The sequence below is a fragment of the Homo sapiens genome, chromosome 7 (assembly GCF_000001405.40).
Source record: "Homo sapiens chromosome 7, GRCh38.p14 Primary Assembly".
Taxonomy (NCBI): domain Eukaryota; kingdom Metazoa; phylum Chordata; class Mammalia; order Primates; family Hominidae; genus Homo; species Homo sapiens.
In genome coordinates, this window is record NC_000007.14 from 23653923 (window position 1) to 23656878 (window position 2956).

The 2956-nt window shown below is 44.5% G+C and overlaps 1 annotated feature.

Annotated features, from left to right (window-relative positions):
- Window positions 1213-1713: an enhancer, noted in NCBI's record as "H3K4me1 hESC enhancer chr7:23694754-23695254 (GRCh37/hg19 assembly coordinates)". NCBI's record gives its function as "activates a minimal SCP1, AML or CMV promoter by ChIP-STARR-seq in naive H9 embryonic stem cells {active_cell/tissue: H9 hESC(naive)}" and the evidence as "EXISTENCE:reporter gene assay evidence [ECO:0000049][PMID:30033119]".

Genomic DNA, 2956 nt, shown 5'->3' on the forward strand with positions numbered 1-2956 from the left:
ACCACTGTACCTCACATCCCCCTTCTCTTGTGTATTTAGAAAAATATTTGCAAGTAGCCAATCGGGTCAGCTCAGATTATGCGGTCCAGCCCCAGCCCATGGGGGAGTGGCTCAGAAGTAGGGACTATGTGTCAGGAATAAAACCTGCTGCTCTCCATTGGTGTGCTCTTGCGATCTTGATTGATGTGAGTGGCACCCTTCTGCAGAAGTAAATTGCCTTGCTGAGACAACTTTTGTCTGAGTGCTGGTTTCACTTTGCGGCACCAAGCATTTATTCCTAGAGCATTTTTATATCCAGCAATTCTAGGGGCTCGTCCAGGATCCCCATTCATCTTTGGGAAGGGGTCTTTGGTCACCCTACCCAGGGGAGATGCATTCCACTGCCCTGTTGCAGTGGCCTCAGGGATGGGAGATCAAGAGCCACCCATTGTGATGAATAAACCTGGACTCCCAGCAACGCGGGGAGGAGAGGCTTGCAATTCCACAGTGACCAGGTAAACTGTGCACAGACCAAGGTAGGAAACGTTGCAGGGGCAACAAAGTACTTCCTTGGTGGTCGGGATGGTTGTCAGGGCATTCTGGAGGATGAAAGTGTGTGAATGGTAACAAGCACTACTGTGCAGAGTGAGTCCAATCTCTGGTTCCATGGTCACCTCATACAGCTTAGGGAGTCCTGTCAGGGGTTTATACTGACCTGCCATTAATGCTGAGAGGGACCTGAAATATTCCCTTGAGGGAAGTTCCTGGCCAGAGCAGATGAAGTGAAAGAAGGATGCAAGGAGCATCCAGCAGGTGGGGCTAAAGGATAGGCAAGACATTTCTAATATGTTAGAATTGAGCCTTAGTAAAGCTTCCAGTGAAGGATAGGCAAGAGATCCCCTAATATGAGGGGTTGAGCCACAAGGAACCCCCCAAATAGGTAAGAAATCCCTAATATGAGGGGTTGAGCCACAGCAAGCCCCCCGCTAGGCAAGAAATTCCTAATATGAGGGATTGCGGCTAGCCAAGACCCAATATGGGAAATATTACAAGCAAAAAGGATAAGAATAGTGACAAAGATATACCACCTGATAGCCCCCTAGATCCCATGAAAAAAGATAAGAATAGTAACAAAAATATGCCACCTGATAGCCCCTAGATCTCATGCTAAAATGTTGGGAAGATAATGAAAGACCATAAGAAAAGGCAACAAATGATAAAATACTGCTGTTCTATTTGGATTCAAAGACCTATCCTCAATCCCTCAATCTTCTGGCCAAAGTTTGGGTCGACTGAGGGGATGCTATGTCAACTTTTAATTCAACATGTAAATAATAAAAGCCCAGTTTCTCAAGAAGAACTGGACTATGCTCTTTGTTGGAAGCAAAGACCTGTCCTTCCTTTTCCCTTATGCACCTGCCCCTACTGTAAAGACAGTGAAGGAAGGGGCTCAGGGGATCTGGCAAAGAAAACAGCACACAGGATCCCCTAGATCATCCACCACCTAATACCCCTAGTCCCCCACCTAATACCCCCAACCCTTCCTATCAGGCCCAGCCTAAGTCCCCCTCTCTGAAAGGACTCCAAGTTCCTAATTCACCAGGTGGTTTTTGCCGGGCTACCAACATCAAGGATCTGCCGCAACATGTTGTCGGTGTCGTCCAGCCTATAATGCGCCCCCGCGGCAGGCAAAGCTCATGTTCCTGCCCCGCGGCTGGTCCAGGGTCTCGGCATCATATTGACGGCGGCTATGCAGGACACGCGCGCCAGGCCGCAACCTATGCCCCGAGCAGACTACATTACGGAACATCTACCTTACTTTTGCCGGGGCCAAGTAATACGGGGCCTCAGCCGTGGCTCCAAGCAGCTAGGCATCCCCGCAGCTAAGTTTCCTAAGTAAGTAGTAGATAATCTTTCAGCTGATATATCCACTAGCATTTATTGTGGTCAGGCCAATGTTAAAGTGAAAATATCCACCAGAAAAGAACTTTTAATTCTTTAAAGTCACTTATATTAAAATGTACCACCAGAAAAGTATTACATGTATATAAGGCTATTCTGTTAAAAAGGATGGTTTAACATTAACTACTGATAATTCACCTAACGTGGCAAGTTTCTTAACAAGAGATCCAAATCTAAAAAGAAAGCACACATGTTTAGATTTAACTAATTATAAACGTCCGGCCAAACTTGGGAGAAACCCTCTTCAGGAATGATTAAGGGAAAAAGAATGCAACAGGTGTTCAGTAATTAATAAAGAAGTTACTAGAAAAATAAAGTCTAAGTGTTTAATAAAAGTCTATTCAAATGTATAAGTTGTATGCACTTAGTCAAGCTTTAAAGTACCTGCAGGACCAGGAAAGAACCAGCTATACTAATTCTAAATACACCTTTACAGTGACTCATACATTTAGAAAATTTCAGACTAAATTAATAGTAAAAGTCAAAGCCTTGTTCATGAGGAGTTAATCACCCAAGTGTCTATTGTCCATGTCTCCAAGCACCAGAAAACCTGTCTTTTAAAATAACCTAGCAAATCAGATAAGCCAGATAGGCTGCTGTTTCTCCTGTAGGCGCTAAAGGGAACTCAAAAAAATGTTACCCATTAAAGACCCCAAGCTACGTATAGCACAGTCAAAGTTTATTCGTGTATAGGAATTTATACCCTTAGCCAAACAAATCTAGAGACTTGGTTGCCATAGATCAAATGTCTTCTGTCTTCCTATTACCCTAGTAAAAATCCAAACTACTTTTCAAAACAATCCACTGCCAACATTCCTACATACTTGGTTTATCTTCCGCTTTCTCTTCCCTCAAAACTGAAAATTTTCCAGTACAGGCGCCACCCCTAGAGTTCCCAGTACATCAACACCAACCTAAGGAGCCGGCCTGATGCTTCTAACCACTAAAACTGAGTCCAAACAGCAAGAAAAGATGGACCCATCCCACCCAAGTCAAGAAAGCACTGCCATCCCCG